Source organism: Homo sapiens, chromosome 2 (assembly GCF_000001405.40).
Source record: "Homo sapiens chromosome 2, GRCh38.p14 Primary Assembly".
Classification (NCBI taxonomy): domain Eukaryota; kingdom Metazoa; phylum Chordata; class Mammalia; order Primates; family Hominidae; genus Homo; species Homo sapiens.
In genome coordinates, this window is record NC_000002.12 from 6,340,880 (window position 1) to 6,365,771 (window position 24,892).

At 39.7% G+C, this 24,892-nt stretch overlaps 3 annotated features.

Annotated features, from left to right (window-relative positions):
- Positions 4,791 to 4,840: an enhancer, noted in NCBI's record as "active region_15241". NCBI's record gives its function as "activates an Ori minimal core promoter by ATAC-STARR-seq in GM12878 lymphoblastoid cells {active_cell/tissue: GM12878}" and the evidence as "EXISTENCE:reporter gene assay evidence [ECO:0000049][PMID:35858748]".
- Positions 5,321 to 5,370: an enhancer, noted in NCBI's record as "active region_15242". NCBI's record gives its function as "activates an Ori minimal core promoter by ATAC-STARR-seq in GM12878 lymphoblastoid cells {active_cell/tissue: GM12878}" and the evidence as "EXISTENCE:reporter gene assay evidence [ECO:0000049][PMID:35858748]".
- Positions 11,417 to 11,536: an enhancer, noted in NCBI's record as "active region_15243". NCBI's record gives its function as "activates an Ori minimal core promoter by ATAC-STARR-seq in GM12878 lymphoblastoid cells {active_cell/tissue: GM12878}" and the evidence as "EXISTENCE:reporter gene assay evidence [ECO:0000049][PMID:35858748]".

The following is a 24,892-nucleotide window of genomic DNA, read 5'->3' on the forward strand; positions in this document are numbered from 1 at the left end:
AAATGAGTTCAAAATTTCCTCCATCCCCTTCACGAAAACCACGCCATGCTGGGGAAAATCCCAGGCCCACTATTCTACCCACTGATTAAGGAAGCAGAGAATCTAGAATATTTAGGTTTTGTGAGAATTCACTTCACTAGCTCAAAGAAGACTGGAAACACACAAATGTGAAAGCTGACATGGAGGTGAGAAAAGGTCAATGCACCTCTACATTGTTTCAAGCAAAAGATAAACGGTCAAAGAAATAACCCCTTTAACAGGTCTCTTGGTTTCTTTGGATCCTGAAATTTCAACACTTCGCTAATTTGAAAAAATAAATACATAAATTTATGCCTACTTTGTACTAATGGGTCACTCTGGGTTTTGTAATCATATATGAATCCATACAGCACAGGCAAACAGAAAATGTGCTGCCATGGCATGGCCACTCATCAGATGCCCTTCAAAATGCATCAGTTCACTTGGTAGGTGTCCTTGAAAAAGGGTTTCATTTTAGTTGTTCCAATTGTCTATTAATCAAACTTTCGATTCTTGCTTACTTTTTAAGTAAAATTTTTCTACAGAAAATCCATATGCCAACAGCCTTATACACACATACTGTTCATCCAGGTTATTTATATTCAGCTAACAGATAGAGAGTACCTTCTATGAACTAAGTACCGTGACAAGTGCTTTATAGGCATCAGTATGAGGACTCACCAATGAGACCTCATTTTGCAACAAATAAAAAAAAATGAAGATGAACGTGCCTCACGAAATCTTAGTTCATTGTGATACCCCCTTATTCATACACATGAGGCTTAGATCATAACAATACATGTTGGTCTGTGTTTTTACTAGTCTCAGAAATACCTTCTTCCATTGCAGAATCCTACAGTTCTCTTCTATTTGCAGTCCTCTCCCTTTGCCATAACAACTGCCAGCACATGTGGTTGCCATGGCAAGCAGAGGAGGCATTATTAAGAAAGATAAGAGCTAAGACCTTACCTTATAATTCAACCTTGGTAGTTTATTTTTTCTCTTGAGTTCTTCATATTTTATGACCTACTTCATTTGCCCGTGAATTCCAAATGGTTTCCAGATGCATCTGGACTTTATCAGATATCTGGGCAACAAAGGTACTCTTTGGCTCTTTCCTGGTATTCAGCAGCAATAGAGAAAACAAGCACCAATACTACAGAATCTCTAGGCCAATTAAGAAAATGGGATGTAAAATTATTCTAAGACAAAAGAGCTAGACTGGCTCTCTAAAAGGTTAGAAAAGAGTTTAATAATATAAAAACAAATAAGAAAACTACATGTATTAATAAAGATTTAACTCCAGATTCAAATAAGGAATTCCAAATTGCTCCCCAAATTCCAATGAAAAGCACTCTGACCATTTGAATATGTCAGTTGTCAGCTCTCTTAATGAAATAAAATAGCAACCATACAACAAGGCTGGTACTGTAGCATCCGCCTTACTGGTAAGAAAACTCCAGTTCAGAATAATCAAATTCCTTGCCCAAGATTGTCCCAGGTAACAAACAACAGACACAGCTCTTTTGACCTTGAGTCTGGCACACTTTACAGCATTTTATGCTGCCTCAGCAGTATTTTTCTTCATAGATTAATTATTTCCATTTGGTACAAGGTGGTCTTTTCCCAGTTTGAGTGGCATGAACAATATTTTCTGTTGCAAAACCATCCCTGGGGATGCTTCCTCAATGTGGAGCTGTGATATTGCACTCCCCATCCAAGCCCCTCTGAGTGCAGCCAGAAGGCACCCTTAGCCTTGCACACTTCGCTGAAAGTGAGAAGTTGTTCTTAGGCTTGCTGCACATCATAAACACCTGTGAAGGTCTAAAAATGGCAACTTCTTAGCCCTAACCGCTGAGATTAAAATTTAATTGGTCCAGAGTGTAACTTGGGCCTCAGGCGCCCTAAAAGCTCCCCAGGTAATTTTATTATGAGGCAAAGTTATAGAACCACAGATCTAAAACTTTAAAGGCACCTTAGGTTCTGTAATAGGTACCTTTATACTGAGCAATGCATTAGAATCACTTGGACAGACAGTAAAATACGTATTTCCAGGTCCCATCCTGGAAATACAGGGGTAGGAATCATGGGTAGAAATCCCATGATTCTGACGTAGTCAACAGTTGGCATTTTGCAAACTGCTGATTTTGGACGCCTAAAACATGGACAGATTAGAGAAATGGACTATTGCAAACTTTGGGAATCACCGGAATCCTCTTTTAACTACCAGAGCCTCTAAGGAGGCTTATTTCTGAAACTTAGTACCAATTATACATCCTTCAGTCATCACGATTTAGCAACTCTTACAGAAAGAGAACAGAAAAGAAGAAGATGAGTCCAGGCTCAGACAGGTGCACAGAGTCGGTGCTGGGGAGGTGAGGGGGCACCTGATGGCTTTTGTTTTTCTAACGAAATGAGAGGCAATGCCATCTGTGGGCAGCATGTGAGGGGAGTGGTGCAGAGGGGAATTATGGGTGATGAGCTTGAATAGAAAAACAAAGGTCTAAAATAGTTAGTGCAGAGAGTGGGATAATGAGCTTAGTAGAGGAAAACCGGTAGGATTTCTTAGAATTTTTGAGTGAGAATTGAAATTCTTAATTATGAATGTATGAAGATGATATTATACTCTTTTGTCTTTTTCTAAACATTCTATACTGGTGTTCACCTTCACAGATAAAGGCATGAAGACTATATGTGAATCTAACCAAGATTAGTGTTTTGAAAAACAAATGGAAGGAAACAGCAAGCATGCAAGAGAAATGACGGTCTTTCTAAAGGGAAAGTTATTTTCAAAAGATGTAGTAGATTGAACTATTGCTTCTTCATATTCACTCTGCTTTCTTGTAAAAGAATTATATACAGTTGCACCATGCACGGGATTTGTAGTGTCTCCCATTGGAGAAGTATGTATCCTCACCCAGATGACATCAAGCTTGTTTGTGTGACTTGCTTTGGCCAATGGCATGTAAATGAATGTGGCATGTATCACATCTAAGCCAAAGCATTGAGAGTCGTGTTTTGCCAGCCATATCATTTGCTTTTCCACCCTTTGGGAAACGGTTGAGTTTCTACTCACACTGCCTCTGATCCTTTAAGCCAGAAGATCAAAGCTATCTTCATCCAACGTGGAGTAGCTGATAAGGCAAGCTACAGTTGGCCCAGCACTGTTTGGGGTAATAAACGTGAACCTTCTGATTTGCTTTGGGGCTATTGTTATTTCAACTTTGTTTCCACTTACCCAAAACTTCTTATTCCATTAGCCCATCCTAACTCAGTCTTTTACCCTTTGGACTTGATGTTAGTATTTTGTACCTTGCTGCTTGAGCTTGACTCTCGGCTCCAATGAATGCCTCAGGGACTTTTCTGGAAATTTTCCTGGCCTTCTCTTCTTCCAACCTGTCCAGCTATTCCTGCACTGTCTGGACCCACAAGCTCAGAGAAAGGGCAGATTTGAACAGTTCCTGTTCTGAGGAATGCTCAAGGGGGACTGATTGTTCCTGATTGCAAAGGCTACGTAGTAGGTTGTGCCTCCTCCTCAATTTAACTAGACACAGAAGATGATACTCAGGGCCCTTAAGGAGGTCATTCCAATCTGGAGAAGCTGGTTCTAATGAGATCCAGTAGCCAAGAAAGAAACTTGTATCAGCCAATTCAAGTGGCTTCTGCCACAAACGTAGCATAGATTTTCCTTGAAAATCTAGGTGCATTGTTTTCTAAAGGTCTTCTTTTGAGCTCAAGACATTCAGGCTGTACTATTATGCATATAGCTTAGAAATATGATTTTAAAATAAATTAAAGCCTAAATATTGTTGGAGATATGAGAAGTGTTGCAGACTGAGTTGTTATAAAAGATGTTGCAAACAAATTGTATCCTTTGAAGTCCTAACCCCTGATGCGACAGTGTTTGCAGATGGGACCTTGGGGAAATAAGTAGGTTTAGATGAGGTCCTGGGCTCTGGTCCAATGGAAGAAACACCTGAACATTTTCTCTGTGTGTGTGTGTGTGTGTGTGTGTGTGCCTGCATGCACCAAGGATGTCACAAAAAGGTGCCCATCTACAAAACAAGAAGGAGGCCCTGACAGAGAACAAATTGGCTAGCAACTCGATCTTGAATTTCCCAGCCTCTGGAAGTGTGAGAAATAAATTTCTGTTGTTTAAGCCACCCATTGTATAGTATTTTGGTATGGTGACCCAAGCCGACTAACACAAAAGGTAAAAAGAAAAAAATATGTTTTCTATGACAAATCTGACTCAATTTTCAATATTCCCACTTACTAGAATTTTGTGAAAATCTTTTGGTTTACAATATTTCCTATTTAGGAAACAGTATACCTAAGCTCAGTCATATTTTACTGCCTTCATTCATCACCTGTTCTTAATGAAAAAGAAATTTAAGTAAGTGAATGATGAGATGGATCAAATTATTCTCTAGAGCTCTAGAGGGTGTTTCATGCTCCCTAGATGGTTTATAAATTCTTGAACATTTGTATACAAATTGATCAAACATGCAAATCAGTAATCTGGGACTGAAAAGACAGAAATGATCTTGGAAATTGCATTTAGGAAAAAAAATTACAGTATCGTGTTGGTAGACACAAAAGAACTTTGATGAAAGCAGCTGTTAAATTGTTAATTTAACAAAAAGATGGAGCTGATGATTCAAAAATGATCAACTAGGTTGCAGATATTCTGCACTCTGAATAGCATAGGCTGCACAGCATTCAACCCTCTCCTCTGCTGTAATTTGAGGCTGCATTCTATCTGCATTAGCAGAACTGTTAATAAATCACATGAGCAAGAAATGAGGAACTGAAAATCTGCAGGTGTTTGATAATGCCTCAAATATCTTCACCACATGTTTCAGAGGAGTCATGTGAGTTCAGAAACATGACTTGGTGATTACTCACTGTATTGCTCTGGCTGCAGTCTAGCTAACTTCTACGGGATACATTTAAATACAGGTTAGGGTCACTATGATGTTTTCTCCCGTCTAGCCCTCAGGACTGGCTTCGATCCTTTGTGTACAGTAGATATCGGTACCCATTGGTCAACTCATGGTTCCTTTGCCATGGAACATTTTTTTCCTTGACAAATCCAGATTTGTTCTCATTCTGTCCCTCTCTCTCTATCCCACCTCTCTCTCTCTCTCTCTCTCACACACACACACACACACACAAAGATATTTTAACTGTGAATAGAACAGTAAAAGAGAAAAGTTGTGCTTACGTAGTCTCTAGGTTTGATATAAGCGTTATTATCCAAAGGACGATTCTTAGTGTTATAATTGAGAAAGTATGAGCTGAAGTCTGTAACTAAAACATGAACTCAAGGTTTGGCATCTACTAGTAACTGATTGGACACCAAAAATTAAAGGACTTACCAGAACCAGTCTTATAAGGCAGGTATTGTTCTCTATAAGAAATCTGCAGGACAGGGGATGTGACAGCCTTTGAGATGTAAGTCTCAAATTCTGGGAGCCTTTGACATGGCGTCTGATGCATCTTGATATCCTAGAAACAAAGCCTTTAAAAGGGCAGAGGTGAGCTGATCATCAAGCACATGTGATCTGACGTTCAGGACAATATTCTTTATTCTAATTCAAATCAACTCCTTGATTTTATTTTTCTTTCCTTCTTAAATGCTTTTCTTTCTCAAATCAATTTTTAAATAGAGAAAATTCAACCTTGTTCTATAAGTATGTTTCCCAGGTGTGTTTTATTTAATTCTGTGCAAAAGATCAAGGGAAGAAAGAACCCTTGATACTCTCCTGAAAATATAAATATACACTCATTAGCACTTTTGACAAGATGGTTCATACAGTGCTTTCAGCCCAATAAGGAGACATCATTGTAACAGTAGCACAGGGCTCTCCCTGCATTTGTGTAGAAAGGACAATAGCCAAGTAATTAGTTTTAAGAGAAGACTCAAGATTCCACTTGTCCACAGATATTCCCACCAAAAAGTAGGACTTGGCCCAAAACTTTACTCTTAGAAAAAAAAAATATTCTGAGTTACAATAGATTCAGTTAGGAAAAAGTTATTGGCAGAGAACCCTCTGAATTACCTGGAGGTGGAAGGAGGAACCCCCATTCTTACCCCACTAGTCCAGTTTTTCCAACAGAACACATGTATAGACCTCTGCAAGTATTCTCAAGTATATCTGATTCAACTAGCCATTTTCCTGGTGGCATGACATTTATGAAACAGCAGGTGAAAGGCAAACATACACAACTCCAAGAATACCTCATCAGGCAGAGTGATGACTGTGAAGAAGTGAGTAGAGGCCCAGGATTCAGGGGAAATTTTCTTAAGAACAAAATCCAGGCCCTATCACCTACTCTTGTACACTTATCTTCCTAAGCCTCAATTTCGTCATTTGTGTAATGAGAATAAGAATCGCCTTTACCTTACAAAGTGGTTGTGAGAATTAGATCACACATGTCAAGTGCGTATTGCAAAATAAATATCCATCCAAATATTCTCTATGTCTGTCTGTCTGTCTGTCTATCACTATCTATCTGTCTATCTATCTATCTGTCTATCTATCTATCTATCTGTCTATCTATCTATCTATCTATCTATCTATCTATCTATCTATCTATCTATAGTATTTAGGTCTCCCGTAAACAAATGCAAGAATAAGATAGTGACAATCTAGCCTTAAAAAGCAAGGGTTTTATTGAAATCAAAATCATTTTGATTTAACTGAATTATATGACTTTAAAAGTAGCCATATATACATTGGTAGTATTACTAGCATCACTAGAAGAATTACATAAAAATGATAGCAATGATAGTTCCATTTATTTTAGCTACACATATTGCCTCAGATTATTAGATCCAATTTTGAATTCTGTTTACTAAGATATATTTAACAGGTATCTTCATATCTTCATATCTATCTATCTATTACCTGTCTATCTATTTATCTATCTATCTACACACACACATATAGTTATAGATGAATGCTCAGAGAAGAGCAATCTGGATAATTACATTTAAAAGCTAAAAATGAAGAAACTTGCATTAAGGAGAATGGTATAGAAAAAAAATACTCAGAAGCACAATATAATTATCTTCAAATATTTGTTAGACTGACACGAGAAAATGCTTAGGAAAACTGTGAAGGGCTTTATGGAGTAAACAATCTGTTAGAAGCTGAGGAAAGCAGAAATAATCACAAAATTTGAGAACATTTCTAATATTTGGAAATATTCAAGATAATACAAGATGTCTTGCAAAATATGAAACCTGTTTATTCAATAAAAACTTACTAGTTGCATAGTCTACTCAAGGCACCAGTTTAGATATTATAAGGATTCAATAGATCTATACAATATTGTTTCTGTCCTTAATAAGCTAATAATCTTGAAGCCAAAATGGTTACTGGGTAATCATGTGATATAGCAAAGTAGAAAGAATGTGCTACAAGAGTGGAAAGGAAAATGTTGCTGCTCTCCTCATTAAGATGGTGTATTTCTTTCCCTATTCCCAAAAAGAAAAGTCTCTGAAGTTTAGATCAGAATGAAACATTTTAGTTTGGATAGAAAGAGATAAAAGATGAAGTCAGATTTAAGAATAAGACTCAACAATTAACAGGAATAGAAGAAAGATAAGTATTTTCTATCCTACATTGTTCAGTCTGCATTTTCAAAGAATGCCGTTAAAAGGATGTAATTAGGGGTAATGAGGTGCAAAATTTCATGTATAAAAAATGATCTTGTTAAGGGCAGTTTAGGCAGATAGTGCAGCTAAAAAATGAATTTTAACTCTCTACTAACTCTATGCCAATATTATATATCCCTGACTTTTCTCTATATCAAATTCCAGTAGAATTTTTTTAAGTCAGAAATTTAAATGAATCTGGTATACAAATCTCCTTTTGATTAAAATTATTTGAGTTTTTTTTTTCATTTAAAAGTGGGAAAATCTTATCACAGTCTTGAATAATAAAATGCCTTTTGTTCAGCTCTCATTGATTAGTCATCTTCTTACCCACATTGATCAAATTCAGGAGTCTGGACAAAGTGTCTATTACAGAGATGCTTTCCTTCCTAACAGAGGTTAGGAAGGTAGTTGGTCTGAGTACATCTCTGCAGTTGAGTCCCTCTGTTCAGCCTCACCCTCCTTAGCAAAGAGCAGAATATTCAGATGAGGTGGCTGATTCCCAGGCTTTGATAATCCTAGGACCCTTTTTTAAAAATGTATTTCTTAACTCTAATCTCATACATTTGGTCAATGAAAAACTGAATGTTTCAGCACTTAAGGTCAAAATATGTAGTATACGTATCATTTTAGATGTTATAGGAAAGCAAGCAATAGTATAAGCCTGGGTAAGTGGCAAAGGTTTCCAAAATATCTTTAAAAAAATTCTCCTATTAAGTTTGGTATCTATTGTGACAAATCCAATAAAACCCAAGATGATCCTTAGTTTGACATTCATTTGAATACACATTTAATTGAACATTTTCAAGGTGACAAGATTGACCGTGCACTAGAAAAACTCACAGATACTTTCAGACTGTGGGAGAAACTGATGAAGAAGCTCATGGTTCCTCTGCAGTGTGGTGAGTTCTCTCGCAGGTACCATAGAGTGATGTGTCAGAACCCTGATGAGCTTCTCAATCCTGCGGAATGTACAAGGCAAAGCTTTCTGATAGAGATTACTAACTTGAACTAAAAAAGAGTTAGTACAATTTTAACAGTTTTGAAAAAGCCAGAAGGGCAACTCTAGCAACTCCATGATTCCATCATAGGCTGTCACAATTGCTATTTCAGAGTGTGTGTTTGCAAGTCATTGTTTATTCAGATCCGTGTCAACACAAGTGTGTGTTCTTTTCTGCCTTGAAATTTCTTCTTGTTCCAAGTTTCACATTTTTATGGGAATATATAGGTACTTATTGCATTTTAATTTTTGTTAACAATGGAACAACAGAAGGGTAAAAAATGTGGTTCTCTCTGTTCAACTCATCTCTAAGTGTAATGCTGGAGGAGAGAGGATTATGTCATGTGGAAACTAAGGTAGAACAAAAGGTTTCAACAGCAACGTTTCAACCCCGGGAGGGTCTCAGTCTATACTTTTCTCCACCAGGTCCTCCTCTGGTGCAGCATGAGAATGGGAGGAGGAGACATCGTCAGTGTTTCCTCCTGAGTTCGCTTGCCAGGGGCGCCAGCTTTTCACGAATTCAAACAACAATGACATGGACAGGTTTACAGTAAAATATGTCTATCCTGAAAAAGAAAGGAATTGACAGCCAACCCACTGGCTGTGCTCATCGCTTGCTGAGCCGCACCAAGCAAGGCCATCTTCTGAGGATCTACAAATGTGTGGCATGGTAATGATCTCACCTTCCAAGGAGCTATGACGTATTTAATGAGGTGTGGATCCAGGGAAACAAAAGTCACGCACGCAGTATGGAGGGGATTGGAACCCATCAATATCTGAGACAAACAGTAACATAGCACGGGGACTTTTGTTACAAATGTCCTGCTCTCTTCCTCTTCCACCTTCAATCTTAGCATAGAGCATGCAGTGTGAACATCAGTGAAACCGATCTGGTTTCAAATAAAAGATTTGTTGCATTTTGACTATGAGGCATTTTGCAAGTTGCTTAACCTCTCTGAGGCGCAATCCCTTGATTTGTGAGGCAGAGATAACACCTTTTTCAAAAGGTTGATTTAAGACCATAATAAAATCATGAGCATGAGAAACTTAGCATAGAGTCTGGAACATTTCAGCTGTTCAATAAATTTTGGTTTCTGTCCATTTTCTCTACCTTTTTCCTCTCCCACTAGAACACGGGGCAGAGAAGGTCCAGTGTGTTAGCCTTCAGAATCTTTTAGTTATTGGGGTTATTTTTTTGGAGAATTTTATTTTTTGGCCTATTTGTTTGTTCTCAGAGAGATGGATGAGATCTAAAATGTACTTCTACTGTTTTCTTCCCCATTTAAAAAAATGTAAAAACCAGAACGAAACACGTCTTTCCAGTCACAGGTAACTAAGTAGGAAGTATCCAGTAACTTCTTATCTTTGGGGAAAAATGTTACCCACAATACCCCAGAGTCAGCTGGGCGACAAGGGGATCTTTTTCCTATATCCCCCGCTCAGTGCAATTCTAGTCAAAAAATTAGCCATGCGTGGTGGCGGGTGCCTGTAGTCCCAGCTACTCGGGAGGCTGAGGCAGGAGAATGGAGTGAACTCAAGAGGCAGAGCTTGCAGTGAGCTGAGATTGTGCCACTGCACTCCAGCCTGGGCGACAGAGCGAGACTGCCTCTAAAAAAAAAATAAAACTCAGCAGAACTAGTCCATGGATATAATGTGCCATCTTGAGGAAATCCACACCTTTTTTTTCCACTCTCTCTCTCTTCTTTTTTTTCAGTTGAAGTATTGTTTAGAAGGCACTTTTAATTATAATTTTGGTTAACTGATTAACGTTAACTTGTATATGACTTATATTGACCACTAAACTTTGGGCCTGGTTGCCCGGTACCATCTGTTTAATTGCCATTTCTATATGAATTCTTCAGTTTTGATATTTGTTTCTCATCTTGTGTGCATTTAACATTACAATCCCCATAAATGCTTCTTTTAAGATGGCTGAATATCTGTAAATACACTTGTCATTTGTATTTTTGGTGGAATTTTTTTGTTCACGTGCACCCTCTTTACTCCCTGGATGTCTTGAAAAAGAAACTGTGACACGTTTTTATCAATACAATGTTTTATTTATTAGTAGAAAAAATGTTAAAAATAAGTACCTATTTTAAGTGTTTTTGTGGAATAAGTAATGCAATAAAATGAAAAGCCAAACTCTGTAGAACTCAAAATGTGTTAAGTATGCAAAGACCAGAAACCTTATAAAGGTGGCAACATATTCTAGATACTTTCAAGACCTTAAGCACCCATGATTACTTGACCTCCACTTCTTTTATCATTTCTACTTGCAATCCATCAGACCTGTTTAAGTGAGAACTCGGGTAGATCTAAAGGTCTTTTCCATTTTATACTCTTTTTTTCATATAAATTTTCAGAAATGCAAAAATTGTAGTGTGAAACTGTGTGAACTTGAAATGTTTAAAGTTAGTATAGTATGTTAAAGACCTATTTGATTATGAACTAGGGCTAATAATCTTAGATTAATTCAGATTTTAATTAATTCAAACATGGGTTACCATGTTTGAATCTTGTTGTTCTAAAGTTTTCTAATTAGTTGTCTTCCCTCAAACAAGAGTGAATCCAAGTGATTGATACAGCCTTTTCCTTTTGTTTTTAGTATTCTGGGCCTAGACTCACAGTGGTTCTTAACATTAGCCACTCATTAGACTCGGAGAAGTCTAATGAGTATTCCCCAAGTCTGTGCATTCAATATAGAGTCAAGTGAGAGCACCTGGATCTGGAGAAAGGAGGCGAGGAGGTAATCTAGAAACAGCTCTGTCAGTGGTGGCCATTCATTCAGCCAGGGGAATCTTAAACACGAAGACTGAGAGATTTCTTTAAGAGAACTTTCACTTCTCTTTTGTCGTTTCCCAAAGGGTTCCATTTGTAAACCAAAGCTTAAGAATGTATTTTGGTCATAAAGGTAAATTCGCAGTTTCTCACGTTCTCAGGGACTGTTCTGAAAGCAAACTGACAGGAGGAAAGAGAAAGCCAAAGGTGAAAAAAGTGAGGCCAGTGCCCTCAGACTGACTTTCCTCATGGACTCAAGGACTTAGCCAATGTAACCTGGACACTGAGACTTTCCCAAAAATAAGACCCAGGGTGACAGTGCTGCTTCACTGAGGACAAATACAATTAAATGAAATTAATAAAATTTTTTTTTTAAATAAAAAATAAACCAGGTGTGGTGGCTCACACCTGTAATCCTAGCACTTTGGGAGGCCAAGACAGGCGGATCATGAGGTCAAGAGATTGAGACCATCCTGGCCAACATGGTGAAACCCCGTCTCTATTAAAAATACAAAAATTTGCCAGGCATGGTGGCGCGTGCCTGTGGTCTCAGCTTCTCGGGAAGCTGAGGCAGGAGAATCCTTTGAACCTGGGAGGTGGAGGTTGCCGTGAGCTGAGATCACACCACTGCACTCCAGCCTGGCGAAAGAGCGAGGTTCCTTCTCAAAAAAATAAATAAATAATAAAATAAATCATGGTCAGGCTTTGTTCCAGGCCCCAGAATTCCAGGATGGAGCAGTTCCCATGCCCGTCACCAGGTGGCAGAGGGGCTTTGCATCCAGGCCTCCCGGGCGTCCCTGGGGCAGCACCTCTGGCTTAGGAAGCAGAAGTTTAGTGAAAATTCAAGGGAGTGCAAACCTTACAGTAAAACAGAAATCTTGTCACTCTGCAAAGCTGGACTCCAGTTCAGAAAGCCAGGTCTCAGCCTTGGACCTGAGGGGTTTGGATGCTTTGGGAAAAGTAATTTCAGTGGAATCATAGGGGTATCACTCCATGGCCAGAAGCAAGCTCAGCTCCAGTGTAGTGCTGTAGTTAAAGAAACAAAGCCAAACCTGTTAAGTCTAACTTCACTTAGAAAAATAGTAAGTGAATAGATCTAAGTTTTTAAATTGTTTAAATGTTCACGGAAGAAGACACCGAATCTTGATTGTTCCCACAGTTTCCCCAAATATTACACAGTCATTGACATACAACAGAAGTTGGATTTATATTTATGATGGAAAGAAAATAGCACCCAAAATATTGACAAAGGAAAATAATGGAAAAGGCACATTTGTTTCCTTGGTTTGGCATGGGATGGAGTGGAAAGAGCATATGTTTTGACCCAAGGTAAATCTGGGTTTGAGTGTCTACTTTGCCGCTTCTCTAGACCTTTCGGCAAGAGCTACTCAGCGGCTCTAGGATTGTTTACTTGGCTTTAGAATGAGGGCTAGCGTGTGCATTAAAGCTTGTAGCTCAGAGTTGTTGCAAAGATTAAAGAAAACAAGAAGTGAAATACATGGCAGGTAGTGAGTGTTCAGAAACCTTTAGATCTCTCCCCATCAAAACTTCAGTGTGAGAAAAGTATTCTCTGGTGCTCAACCACCAACTCTGATTTTGAGACTAGAACCATGCAAAATTGTTCTGTGACCTGAAAATAATTTTCCAGATTGTGGAAATCACTGGAACATATGCTGTGGTCATCTGGCAAATTCTCTTTCTAACATTTGTGACTGAGTGCCCCTTTTAAGTACCTCTGAGAAACCCTGGAAGTTGATTTCCCATACATTTCAAATAAGTATTCTGTGAACACAGTAGTGTTAGGACATTCTGGGAAAACTCATAATGTCCTCAGCGATTTACAGAGTTAACTTGAATCTCTGTGACACCGAGGCTCCTTTAATCATAAAGTCAGAGTGAGATGATTGGACCTCTCAAAAGTACAAATGTTGCGAGTCTGCTTTGAATAAAATATACCTTCGATAGTTTCCATTTAATATAATATTACATTCAAGAATTAAGAGACTCCTGAATAATTTATCATTTTGCAAGTATAAGTGATCACTAATAATATTGCATTGTTATTTATTAACATTTATGCCCACCACAATTCTATTATGTAAATAATATAACAGATTATCCAACTATATGTTTAATACTGTGGGTATATATTACTAATAGCTGAGCATAATATGACTTGATGCACAGTGAGGAATGAAGATGAATGAGAATTCCAGCCTAGGGAATGTTTTATGGATGAAATGTACATTAGATATTTTGAGGGAGATGTCTAGGCAATATCAACACTGGATTTTGTTTTCCCGGGACAGGATTAGAAAACAAAGCCTGACTTGTATGACAGTCATAACCAGTTCTGAAAATGCACAAAAGCACTATTAAGGCCAAGTATGGACTCTAGATCATCAATGCTACCTAGTTGTCATTCATTCATTCAGTCATTCATTCGTTCACTTAGGACATGCTTATTTGTCATAGGCTGGTCATTAAGAATATAACAATCACCAAAAAAAGATACTATCAGCCAGGTGTGGTGGCTCATGCCTATAATCCCAGCACTTTGGGAGGCAAAGGAGGGCAGGTCACCTGAGGTCAGGAGTTCAAGACCAGCCTGGCCAACATGGTGAAAGCCTGTCTCTACTAAAAATACCAAAAAATTAGCCGGGCGTGGTGGGAGGCGCCTGTAATCCCAGCTACTCTGGAGGCTGAGACAGGAGAATTACTTGTACCCAGGAGGCAGAGGTTGCAATGAGCCAATATTGTGCCATTGCACTACAGCCTGGGCAATAAGAGCAAAACTCCATCTAAAAAAAACCAAAAAAACAAAAAAAAGATATTATCACCAACAAATACTCAACAAAAAAACCCTTACACAACTAAGGAGAAAATCCCCCACTGCAATGAGGAAAATGAAGAAAGTGTTCAGGGGAATTGTGGAAGTTCCATTTAAAAAAATTGCAGAAGTTCAGTGTATAAGCTGAAATGTGAAGGATGGCTAGAGATGAATTATCAAAGAATTAGGGATGACATGTTCTAGGCCTGGGGTTGGACACAGTATTCCTTATTTTTATGAGGTAGATTCAGACAGATGTGTTCAAATACTACTTATTATCTTTGTCATATTAGACACCTATTAGCTTTGTCATATTAGAAATATACTTAGCCTGTTAGCGTTTCAAGTTCCAAATATCTAAAACAAGGTTAATAATTACAATCTTAAAAAACATCACAGAGCTTTAAAGAAAAAAAGATGTGTAAATTTCCCTACTATAACGTCTGCACATAGTAGGTACCCACATAATAAATGCTGATTACATATATTACCTTTACTTCCTCATTTTTACTTAACGGGATCCTACCCCTACCTCACTCCACATTCTCCTTGACTCTATCTTCTCACATAAACTACATGTATCACATTTTTCTGAATGTAAGATAGGGAAATTTCTATTATCTCCTCTTTTTGGGGGTTTCAGATTAATCTAAAAAAAGGCTTGATAACAACAAAAATTCTTGACTTAAAGAGAAATTCATTGATGTTAATTACAACACAGGACACAATCCCACCTCCCTTGGTGCAAATAAATCCTCCCTGAGGTTTGTGATGAAGTCTGCCTGCAGTATTTCCTCTGCAGCAGTGGAGATCTATGCCAAGTGAGAGGGAATTTTCCCATGTGCTTCTCTCTCCTGGCCATTCATCACCTAAAGGATCCTCTCCAAGCTTCCAAGGGGCTGATTGAGGGCCTGGGGGAAGGTGCATCTACCCAGTGTGGGCCTCCATCCAGTGGTGTCTGATAGCCCTGGGCCAACTGCCCCCATCTGGTCCTCGGCCTGCTGACTGGAGGGAAGTGCTTCACCAGGATAGAGTCTCAATGATTTAGGATGATCAGAGTCATACTCACTCAAATCCCAGTTGTAATAAGGGGGCCACTTTCCTCCAGCCCTGCCCCAGCCTCTGAGTGTGAAAGCAGGTTCTCCTTCTCCCTAGGGCACATCCCCCTGGGGGCCCCTGCCAGACCTGCCGTGTCAGGCGGACTCCATTAACCCTGGTGGTCAAGAACTTCATCAGAGTCTGAGCCAGGGGAGAGCCAGCCTTGGAAGCTGCCTGGCAGCGAGCCCAACCCCCCAAGAGCTGCAGAGACCCCCATAGAGCCAAGACTGAGAAAATTGGACACAACGAAGAGTGAGCCTGGGTTCTTTTGCCTTTGATTTGATGGAGAAGGACATCTGCTGGCAGGAAATCAAACTCAGTATTATAGATTTCTCTTTACAGAATTTGGAACATACCAAACCAAAGCATGTCACACAGTTGGATGGCCTCTCGCTGCTTGGGAGGAAAAAATGAGGGGGCTTTGGATGACCCAGAAAAAAGGGTTGACCTCCAGGCTGCTCCATTATAGTAAAAAGTGATTTTGATGAAGGCAGACTCTGCAGGTCAGAAGGGGCACTTGTCCTGGTACTGCATCCTCAAGTGCTTCAAAATGTTATAACTTGATTCATGACTTTTTCAGCTCTTTTTGCTGTACTTTTCCAGTACTTAATATAGTATATTTAAACTTTAAATAATACGGTTGCTTCCTGCCATCACTTTTCTCCTATTCAGACACTGGTGCTATCCCATTGTTCTCCGTGTTCCTTCTTGGATCTAGAGCGGCTCCTACTTATAATGAGGCATAATTGGTGTCACGTGTCTTCAGGCACACGCAGGCTGCACATGTGCAAGAAAAATAGTTCTCACAGCAATCCTCTCCTCTGCGTTCATTCCTCATCATTTGCTTAAGGGAAATCATGCCCTAAACCAGGTCTGAGGGAAACCTAGGAGAGATGTTGCATCTATTTTGGCAAAAACTCAACTGTTTTATGGAGACAGCCAGGCAGTCATTTTCCAACACAAGCCCAGGTATGGCCCACACCATCAGCCTCTCCTGTTTCTCACCCAAGGACCGCCTTGCCTGTCGACTTTCAGTCTGTGTCCCTGAAATATCTTCCCCTCCCCCAAACCATTTCCATTTGGCCTGGCCAGGCACTTGGCATTGTCTACTCAAATGTGCTGACACTCAGCGATTCCCTCAGGTTTCAGCCACTCTGATTTCTGTATGCCTTGAAGTCATTTATGAGAACGTCTAAAATGTTATAATATTTATGAAAATATTTTATACAAATTGTAATATTCTCTCTTTTCTGATTTCCAGATAGTCACGGTTGTCTGTCCTCTTCTCTTTAGCCCCGCGCCAGGTATCCCCCTTGAGACTGCACTTCTCCTCCTGAGCCAAAATGCTTGCATATTCCCATGGGTCCTTCAAATAGTGGGGATTTCTGAGAAACCAAACAAATTGATGTAGTAGCTTGAGTATGGGAGCCAGGACAGGGTTGTCCAGGGAAAGGAGGGAATTATAAAATGCTGATGCTGTGCTCTAATGCTTGAGCCCCTCCAAAATGCACATAGAAACCAAATCGCTCTTTGGTGGTGCTAAGAGGGGAGGGCTTAAGGAGGTGATGAGGTCCTGAATTCTACTCTCATGAATAGAATTCTATTCTCATGAAGAGAATTAGCGCCCTTGTAAAAGGGGTTGCAGGGAGCCGCCTTGTCTCTTCCACCACATGAGGACATAGCAAGAAGGCACTGTCTAGGAAGCAGTTTCTTAGCTTAGATTCCCAGAGTCCGAGAAGACTTAGCACAACCTTAGGGAGCAAGATTGAGGGAAGAAAAGAGGGCAGCAGAAGAGAAGACGTCAGGATGAAGGTGCACTATGAAGCTGGAAGCCACTGAGTGCAGGCAGGTTGCCAGGTGCCTGGGGAAACTGACGCTCTGGGAATTGTTTCTCAGCACATTCCTTTTCAAAGAGAATAAAGGAAGAGTTTATCCATCAGATATATGTAGCCCCCCATTTCCGGGTTGTGCACTTGTAGCCCCTCACTTCTGGGTTGTGCTAAGCAAGGATATTTTTGGCGTGCCAAAATTGCAGCATCAAGAAGGAAGCCGAAGGCAGGAGGTGAGAGGCTAACGCATCCAAGAGGTGGGATTCTCTCAGGAACACACACATAAGCTCCGTGATGGAGCCAAAGCAGGGACTTCTGTCGATTCCTCCCTTGTGATGGAAACTGCAGCCCTGATAGCACACTGCAAGAGTTGCTCAGGTCAAAGGGCGCATCCCCCAATGTGCACCGGGGCAGCATGTGACTGCCGGACAGTGGCTATGCTACAGTAAACTCTGGCTCAGCCTGGCCCTCTCTTTCCTACCCAGTTCCTTCCTTGTCAACACTGCCAGTACCTTCCCCCTGTCAACCAGGTTAGCACAGAAACTGTGATGAGCACTTCATGCTTTGTTTCTGTCTTCAGTAAGTTTTACGTCATGTCATTCACAATATGAGGGAGTGTATAACCAATAAAGATGCCAAGACAATCCGTCCTAAGTGCAAACTGCCTGGCACAGGAGTCAGACTGAAAGCATTCCATATGGGCTAAGGAACTCATCAGGAGGAGGGAAATAAATCCGAGAGTTCCTGTTCCCTCTAACACCGATCAGTCTAGAATCCCAGAAGGCAAAGGGCAAACTGTGTCCCTCCCGTGCATTTTTGCACTCTGTGTATTTTTTTCAAAATATTCATTTCTGATAGTTTAATACCTAAAGATGATTTCATTTATTGCAGTGCCTATAAGCAATATCAGAAAAGCACAACCTGACCTTTTTAAAATAATTTTATCTCTGGGCTATGTGATGTGGAAATGAAAGGAAAGCTCATTCCAGAATATAGGAGAAATAGGTAAGACTACTGTCCTTTTGGTGTAACCATATGGCTTTGTCAGTCACACAGTCTGATGACGTCAGCGCATTTCATCTGAGTACCCAGTGATGTGTCGTGTTACCTCTGGCCACCAGACAAACATCCCTGGCCACACAGGGCTGACACAAACTTCCACTCTGGGCTCAAGGTAGACGCCCTCCATTGCCCTCCATTCTAAGGATGAAGAGGTTTGGAATTCAGGGATAAACTGGAAGCATGAAAAATAAGCAGCTGGAGGGAGCCCCGTCAATGAAGAAAGAGTTAGCCCTGGGTGGGGGTGGGAATAAGAGTTTCAGGCACCCTCATCTTATAGACAGGCACCACAACAAATTCTCCGAATTTGCATTGCAGTTCTTCAAAGGATTCCTCCAGTGATATCAGAGTTAGAAGGTTTTCAGTCTGATGAATGGGGAATATAGATAATGCTAAGTCCCCAGAGGGATTATATAAATGGCTTTTATTCAGATTTCCTAAAAATAGCACTATTCATTGCTTTTTTTGTCTCACATTATTAAAGTACTGTAAGTTCACTTTTAAAATGTTGGAAAAAAGCACAAAATTATGAAGACTATAGAAATGACCTATGATTTCACCACCAAATAAGTATCCATGTTTTTCTATTCATCTAATCATGAGTGCATAAAACCATGTTAAATATACAATTTTACATCTTATCTGTTTCATTTAAATTATATCATTAGCATTTTCTCTATTCAGCTAGGCATTGTTTGAAACCTCATTTTAATGTCATTTGCATATTGTTTTATTGAGCAATAATTTTTTGATCATCGTGTGTGTGTGTATGTGTGTTTATGTGTGTGTGTTTCTGATTTTTCTATGCGCAGGAAATTCTTGATCAATGAATATAGTCAAGATATGATTCCTGCTTTTGGAGGAAAGTCTGACGAAAACAAGAAAAGACAGAAAAGCCTCCATGGGGCTGAAATTCAGAACAGAATGTCTCCTTCTCCTGGAATAAGCCCGGACAAGCCATCAACATTTTGGGGTAGTGCCAAGGTGAAGCCTCCATTCATAACTGGCTGGAGTCTGGGCATGGTTAGAATGGCAAAGGCAAGTGTTCCACGTCACAGAGGTCTGGAAGTTCTCCTTTGGGGCACTGGATCACAGGGATGGGGACAAAAGAACCCAGCCAGCTGTGCTGAGGCAGAGCACGCATCTCCACTGCTGGGACAGGGTGAGGACTTTATTCTAAGACCCTAGGAGGGAGGGAGAGATACTAATCTTTATTCCCATGACTAAGATGGGCTCAGAAATTGCTCATCAAAGCAAAGAATGAAATTGCCCTGTATGCCAGGGACACTTCCAAGATGCTTCATAGAAATTAACTCATGCAGCCTTCATGACCACCCTTGAGGTTGGTAGGTGGTGTCATCCCCAAAACACAGCTGAAGAAACTGGGATGCAGAGATACTGAGTGCTTTGCTGAAGGTCACCAAGCAAGTAAAGGAGGGAGGTGGGATTGAAACAGCAGGTGACCCTAAGGCTCTTCTGCATCTCTCCCCATCACCAAGCACAGAGCATGAGGCCTGACTGTGTCTGCAGGAGGAGATCGGGGCCTGAGGGGAGGGAAATGTTGTGGAGAGCAAAAGCAGAAGAGCCCCAGCAGAAGCAGATGCCTGGAGGAACACCTTTGAAACAAAGTCTAAAAATATCATGTCTCTGATTATGGTTCAGAAAGATTCCCATTTGGGTGTGGGCTTATGTAAGTTTGTGTGTGAGACGTGTGTGTGTGTGTGTGTGTGTGTGTGTGTGTGTGTGTGTGTAGGGAGCTGGAAAGGGGGAGGTGATGGTCCCTCTTTCTAGGTCCCTGCAGTGGTTCTTCCCTGCACCTCCCATGACAGCAAGAATGCATGGTTCCTCTCTGACACCTCCCTAACTGAAGACTCCAGGCTCCAGTGGGCCATGGCCAACCAAGTCCCTGGGAGGCACAGCTGCCTAAGCCACAGGCGGCTGGCAGAGGGGCTCAGCGTCACCCTCCAGAGAATAATCCTCCTCCCAGTCTTCTCATCTGCAGCAGTCAAGGGTGAGAAGGAGCCAGGGAATGACAGAACAAAAGCAGAAAGCTCACCAGACCACAAACCAACCTCAACCAGCTCTTGTCTAAGACACCGCTAAAGAGCTAATCCTCCTGAAATCCACCGAAGGGTTTTAGAGATGGCGGCACTTCCTGCTTTACAGAACACAGCCACTGTATGGTGATCGCCTTGCTTGGAAATTTTTAGCATGGTCAATATAATGGCTTTACTTATAGGTGCTCTTTTGAAATTCAGCAAAATGTTGTTACCAGACTGCCTCCAGGAAACAGAGAATTCTCAGCCACAGCTATTGGAGAAGCACTTTTTAAATGTTATTTTCTGCATGAAGGTATAAAATTATGATACGTCATCCTAATCCAACCCTGTTCCTGTGTCTTTGCCAGACTGTAGGAACAGTCTTCTGCTTCTGGAGTCATAATTATTATGTATTACTAGTTACATCATCAGCACACCACCAAATCAACAGTGCCAGAAAATGTCCGGAGATGTATGATCACCTTCCATTTAGCTTTCAAGAATGGAGAGTCCTGACCACTGAAGACTGAGTTCAATGGCATCCCAAAGCCCATCCCATGAAATACTACGATAATATATCAGCAACTTTTACATTAGCAACGTTTCCATATCTAAGCCCTAATTTTAAGAGAAAATAACACTGCTGGAGAAATCAGCAAACTAATCCAGGTAGGCTTTATTTCTACTGAGTTATAGAAAAACATATAAAACACAAATCAAAAACCAATATATCTTAGAACCCTCAGGGTGATGATGATTTAGATGATAATGTTTTCATGTCCATCCATAAGAAGCTGCCTGGGGGACCGAGTGCGGTGGCTCACGCCTGTAATCCCAGCACTTTGCGAGGCCGTGGTGGGCGGATTACGATGTCAGGAGTTCAAGACCAGCCTGGCCAACATGGTGAAACCCCGTCTCTACTAAAAATACAAAAATTATCTAGGCGTGCCTGTAGTCCCAGCTACTCGGGAAGCTGAGGAAGGAGAATCGCTTGAACCCTGGAATTGGAGGTTGCAGTGATCCAAGATCACACCACTGCACTCCAGCTTGGGCAATGGAGTGAGACTTCGTCTCAAAAAAAAAAAAAAAAAAAAAAAAAGCAAAAACAAACAAACAAAAAACAAAGAAGCTTCCTGGACTCAGGAAAATGTGTCAGCATTTTGACCTTTGGGACAATGTATATTCTTCTCTTTGCCTGAAATTTATTCTCATTGTTAATAAATCTGCTCAAAAGTTATCTCCCCTATGAAATTCTCTCTCTCTGTGTGTATGTGTATGTCTGTCTGTCTATCTATCTCTGTTTCTTTCTCTCTCTCTCACACACACACACAGAGTTTGCCTGTCCCTGATCCTACATCACGTACGCTTCCTTAACTCCAATCTCACTGTTTATAATGCATTATTCGTGCATTTGTTCTCCCCGATCTATTACATTTTTATTGTTGTCTTAAGAACACTGTTTATGCCTGTACCGGCTTATATAACAATGTGCCATCAACTAGATGCTTTTAAACAACTGAAATTTATTTCTTACAGTTCTGGAAGCTGGAAGTCCAAGATCAAAGTGCCGGCAGATTCGCAGATTCTGTGTCTGGTGAGGGGCCATTTTCGGGTTCATAGACAGTGCTTTCTTACTGAGTTCTCACATGGTGGAAGGGGCAAGACAGCTGTCTCTGGATCCTCTTTTACAAGGACACTAGTCCCATTCACAAGGGCTCCACCCTCACGATCTCATCACCTCCCAAAACTTCCACTTTATGTGGGGAGTTTGGTTTCACCGTGATGAATTTCAGGGGGACACTATGATTCAGACCATAGCATACATTTCACATGAGTTCTACTCTCTGAATCCATTTTTAAGTGCAGAATAAAGTATTATTAGCTATAGGAACAATATTGTTCAGCAGATCTCTAAAACGTATTCAGCTTTTATAATTGAAACTTTATGCCCGTTGAACAGCAACTCTTCTTGAAGGCAAGAAGTTTCGGTTGGGCGCAGGGGCTCATGCCTGTAATCCCAACCTTTTTGTAAGCAGTGAGCTATGAACACACCACTGCACTCCCGTCTGAGCCACAGAATGAGACTGTGTCTCAAAAACAAAACCAAACAAAAACCAAATAAACCAAAAGGACTTTTTTCTCACTCTTTCTATTTCATTTAACTACCATTTCTGAACATTTACAGTACACAAATGACAGTTAAATCTGGAATATAAAATCACTATTCTGAAAGAGTTGATAATCTAACAGGGTAGAAAGAAAAAATAATTTTATTCCGGAAAAATATATTGTGTGGAATTTGTCTTCATATAGGGATAATGAACAGACCACATTTACTTGTTATATTCACGTGATGATTGCAAACTTCATATGATTTTTTTCCTTTGAAACTATCATTTTAAAAGATTTGGTCACTAGCTAGTATGTTTCTTGATGAAAGAAACAAAGTCTCTATTATCTAGCATTTCTATTACCAGTGCCCAGTAGGAACCAGGGATCAAGTGAGAATTCCATAAATAATTGTTACCTGAATGAATGAACTTACAATTGTATGCATGTCTCTACTGATAAGACATATTTGCATGTTGGCCAATCACATAGAGTTTTGCTTTTAATAAATGGTTTGGACTGAAATACTTCAAATAAAGAAAAGTGCAGCATCTTGAAAGTTCTTTAAAATGATCCTTTCTCTTTGGGTTGCCAGAGGATCAAATAATTCTCCTATACTCAAATAGAGAATCAGACTACCCTCTTTTATCTTCATTTGGATGTTTCTCCAAAATGTTCTCAATGCTTCCTTTTCAAACCTAGACTTTGATGACAACATTACTTCTCATCTCCTTGTAAGCACAAGTTTGGCCCTTTTAGATGCCATGAGTGTTTAACAATTTAAGTTCCTTTAGATGCCTGAAACAACTAATTTCTCACTGGGGGTATAAACCTTTATATTTATTGCCACTAATTTACTAAATGAATTGTGTTCATATTCTTTTTGTAACCTTCATAGAAAGAAATTAAGATTAGATGCTGCTATTTCAAAAGTGATCTGAACACCCTGCTGTTTTCATCTTTTACAATATTTAGGATACTACCTCCCAATAATCTGTTTGTAAAAACGAATCAATTATCAACAACATGACTTTCTCATGAATAATTAAAAGAAACAACAACACAAAGGAGGGTTCCACCAGAAACCAGTACATCGCTTCAAAAATCTTAAGAGTGCTTTGCAAAACTCTGCATGAAGTGCCTAATTCAAAGAAGCTTGAGACTTTTAATTCCAGGTCGACTCTGTCTAGAATACAATCAGAAGAATTTCTGCTTTCCAGTTGCCTATGGCTGAGATTCCCCTTGGGAATGAGTTTATCGTTTTGGAAGACAGGAGGGCTTTTTGGTTCCAGCAAGGCTCCATTTGGCAAATTAGTGAGCCAATGTATTTTGTGATGTCCTGATTAAAGAACAAAATGAGCCAGGTGTGGTGGCTTTTACCTGTATTCCCAGCACTTTGGGAGGAAGAGGTGGGAGATCACTTGAGGCCAGGAGTTCAAGACTAGCCTGGGCAATATAGCAAGACTCCAACTCAAAAAAAAATTAATAATGAACAAAACAAAACAACACTACTTAAATTTCTGTAAGTACTGTGTACTCATCATCAAAATGATGCAAATCACTGTAATTTTCCTGTAAACAATTTTTAATAAGAAAAATCTGTGAAAAAGTAAAAAATCTATTAATAATTTAATTTAAAATTTTAGTTCTGACTCTTATTAGCTATGAGAAGCTACATGAATTATTTAAGCTTTCTTGAATTTCTTGATCTGCAAAATTAAAATAAGAATGCCTATTTCATAAAACAGTTAAAAAGTCAAAATGAGAGAGAGTCATGAAAAAAATCTCTGAAAAATAGAACTTCTTTTCTCTTTCTATCTTTAAAAGAGCATATAGGGTGTGTGTGTGTGCATGCATGTGTGTGATTGTGTGCATGTGTGTGTGGTCAGTTTGTAATAATTCAGGTCATTTTTTCACTTCTTTTCCACTTGTTAAATGAGATATGAGGCTTGTAGTAATGACCCAGAGGACTCTAAAGTACTTTCTTCACTTCTTAAAAAGATCAGATTATAAATTACAGATTCAAGAATTAATAGTTGTTTCCTGAATCTTTTCATATATTTGGAAAGTATTTATTAATGGCCAAAAATGTGACAATTATTATGTATTCTGTATGTAAGACGCTTCATAATGTTCTTTTCATTAGAATGTGGACCTTACCACATTCTGGTCCATCAGGATCATGTTATTTTATGAGTTATTTGTTCCTTGACAAAGTCAGGAAGACATATTGTGCACAACAATGAGAATAGGCAAAGCAATGATTCATTCGTTACTGGATACTTTTCCCTCTCTCCATCCTGCATCGTTATAGAATCCCCTAGAAAGCTTTCAAGAAAATTAATTCAAGGGTCACATCTCAGACCAAGTAAGATCTTGATGGTGAGACCCAGATGTTGAAGTTTCCTAAACTCCTAACTGGATTCTTCAATGTATAGTCAGAGTTGAAAACCACTGCTCTAA